Here is a 3,762-nt window from a genome sequence, read left to right on the forward strand (position 1 = left end):
TTCCCAGAGTTTGACTATTGGGCTGTCCTTCCTTTTCTCTCATTTCTGGCAGTTTCATCTGTTCTCACAGCCTCAATTCTCACCAAATTGTGATGGTCCCCAATTCTTTCTAGCTCTGAGCTCCAGTGCCCAAAAAACTGCCAAATTAGCATTTGCTCTGCTTCCATATACGGAAAATATCTAAACCTACATTATCACCTTGTCTCACAGCTCCCCAAGCCATTTCCTTCTTTCTTAAGATGGCCTTTCTCTTTTTTTTTCTTTTTTTTTTTTCTTTTGAGATGGAGTTTCACTCTTGTCGCCCAGGCTGTAGTACAATGGCGCGACCTCTGCTCACTGCAACCTCTGCCTCCTGGATTCAAGCGATCCTCATGCCTCATCCTCCCAAGTAGCTGGGATTACAGATGCTCACCACCACACCCGGCTAATTTTTGTATTTTAAGTAGAGACGGGGTTTCGCCATGTTGGCCAGGCTAGTCTTGAACTCCTGACCTCAGTGGATCCGCCCGCCTCGGCCTCCCAAAGTGCTGGGATTACAGACGTGAGCCACTGCGCCCAGCCAAGATGGCCTTATTTTATAAGTGACAATTACCCACAGTAAACCCTGGGACATCCCCAACTTCCCCATGCTATACAGATCCATCCAATTAGATGTCAACTCCCACTAACCCCTTTGTCCATTATCTTGATCATATATGATTGGTTCATTCCACCCCATATATCACCCTAGTTCTGTCCTTTAGCGCCTTAAGCCTAGGTTATTGCATCACCCCTTGCATGGGCCCTTTCTCTCTCCAGTATCTCTCTTTTCCACCCTCAACCACCCACCATGACCAGACCAATTACCCTAAAGCAGTGCCTTCATCATGATACTGCAATCAAAACTTGACACCTACAAGATAAAGCTTGAAACCCTGTACCTGATATTTTAGGTCCTCCATCATCTGACACAACTATTCCTCTACATAAATCTTTCTGTCTCTCTCCCCAGACCACCTTAAGCATACCAGGAACATGCCAGCTTAGCGTCTTTGTTCATACTGCAGCCATGACATATTCTTCCTGCTAGGGCAAGCACCAAAGACTAGCTGGCCTAGGACTTGGAATTAGAAATAGGTGAGGTGGCAATGAGATACCATCTCACACCATTTGAATGGTGATCATTAAAAAGTCAGGAAACAACAGGTATTGGAGAGGATGTGGAGAAACAGGAACACTTTTACACTGTTGGTGGGAGTGTAAACTAGTTCAACCAGTGTGGAAGACAGTGTGGCAATTCCTCAAGAAATTATAATCCTTTGGGTATATACCCAGTAATGGGATCACTGGGTCAAAAGAACCTAGAACTAGAAATACCATTTGACCCAGCAATCCCATTACTGGGTATATACCCAAAGGATTATAAATCATGCTACTATAAAGACACGTGCACACGTATGTTTATTGCGGCACTATTCACAATAGCAAAGACTTGGAACCAACCCAAATGCCCATCAATGATAGACTGGATTAAGAAAATGTGGCATATATACACCATGGAATACTATGCAGCCATAAAAAAGGATGAGTCCATGTCCTTTCTAGCGACATGGATGAAGCTGGAAACCATCATTCTGAGCAAACTATCACAAGGACAGAAAACAAAACACCACATGTTCTCACTCATAGGTGGGAATTGAACAATGAGAACATTTGGACATGGGGTGGGGAATATCACACACCGGGGCCTGTCGTGCAGTGGGGGAATGGGGGAAGGATAGCATTAGGAGAAATACCTAATGTAAATGATGAGTTAATGGGTGCAGCAAACCAACACAGCACATGTATACATATGTAACAATCCTGCACATTGTGCACATGTACCCTAGAACTTAAAGTATAATAATAATAAAAAAAAGAAATAGGTGAGGGGGGAATGTAGACACAGGTTTCTTTGGATAGATTTGAAAGCGTGAGCTTTTACACATCTGAGTAAAACTTTCTCATAAAAGAACTTACACCCTCAAGGTGTGAAACTCCAGGAGGGATACAAAAATCTATTCAGCCTGTAACCTTCAGGAATATAAGTAAATATTATATAAGTAATTCAATTCAAAATGTTATGGAACTTTTTGTTGTTTAATAGATATAGAGCTTCAGTTTTGCGAGATGAAAAAAGTTCTGGGCTGGGAGTGGTGGCTCATGCCTGTAATCTCAGCACTTTGGGAGGCCGAGGCAGGAGGATTGCTTGACTTCAGGAGTTTAAGACTAGCCTGGGCAACATAGTTGTTAGCAGTGGCAAGTATTCAAGTCACAGGTCTGCAAAATATGTTACCAGCAGAACATATCAGTATCCGTACAGGTCTACAGCAACCTCAATTCTTGCCTCCTCAGAAGAAAAACTTTGACTGAGGAGCATAAGGCAGAAGGAGAGATCGAGGCAAGTTTTAGAGCATGAGTGAAAGTTTATGAAAAAGCTTTAGAGCAGGAAGGAAAGAAAGTATACTTGAAAGAGGGCCAAGCAGACGGCTTGAAAGTCAAGTGTACAATTTGACCTTTTAACTTGGGATTTTATGCATTGGCATACTTGCAGGCTCTTGCATCCCTTCTCCCAACTCCTAAGATCTTATTGGGAAGCAGCTGATCACCAGTTTCAGGTGTTTTCTATCTATTAGAAGACAGCCTTTCCCTGGTGCCAGCTGTGACCAATTATTACTTTAGCGAGACAGTTAACAACCGCCTGACCATCATCTGATGGTCACCCAATGCTCCTGGTGTGTGTGAGGTGGGGGGGCCCTCTCCCACCCTGCTCATACCACACTAGCTACCCACTGTAACACAGTGAGACCCTGTCTCTAACACACACACATACACACATATGTGCGCGCACATGCGCGCACACACACACACACACACAAAGCCTGGCACGGTGGTGTGTGCCTATAGTCCCAGCTACTTGGGAGGCTGAAGCAGGAGGATCACTTGAGCCCAGGAGATTGAGGCAGTGAGCTATGATTGTGCCACTGCACTCCAGCCTAGATGACAGAGTGAGAACCTGTCTCAAAAAAAAAAAAGTTCTGGATATTGGTTGCGCTTAACACTACTTGAACAGTACACTTAAAAATGGTTAAGATGGGCCAGGCACGGTGGCTCACGCCTGTAATCCCAGCACTTTGGGAGGCCAAGGTGGGTGATCACTTGAGGTCAGGAGTTCGAGATCAGCCTGGCCAACATGGTGAAATCCCGTCTCTACTAAAAATACAAAAATTAGCCAGGTGTGGTGGCACCCACCTGTAATCCCAGCTACTCAGGAGGCTGAGGCAAGAGAATTGCTTAAACCTGAGAGGCAGAGGCTGCAGTGAACCAAGATCGTGCCATTGCACTCCAGTCTGGGCGACAGAGTGAGACTCCATCTCAAAAAAAAAAAAAAAAAAAAAAAAAAAAGGCTAAGATGGTAATTTTGTGCTATGTGTACTTTATCATAATGAAAAATAAAAATTAAATTAAAAATATCTTGGGACTCCAAAGGAGGCTAATTTATCCAACAGTCAGAGGAAGTGGTCTCTGAGTTAAGGTTAAGCCCAGAAGCATGGGTGGGATGGTGACAATAGCAGCTAACGCTCTGTCCTGAGCTTTTCATGTACGTGAACTTGATTAAACCTCTCTATACCCCACCAGATGGATGCTATAATTCTCTCCAGTCTGACTCTGGAATCCAAGAGAAAGGCAGAATTATTTGATTTATCTTCTGGTTTATCTCTTTAAAAATATCAGATGCCAGAA

The sequence above is a fragment of the Homo sapiens genome, chromosome 7, assembly GCF_000001405.40.
Source record: "Homo sapiens chromosome 7, GRCh38.p14 Primary Assembly".
In the NCBI taxonomy this organism is placed as follows: domain Eukaryota; kingdom Metazoa; phylum Chordata; class Mammalia; order Primates; family Hominidae; genus Homo; species Homo sapiens.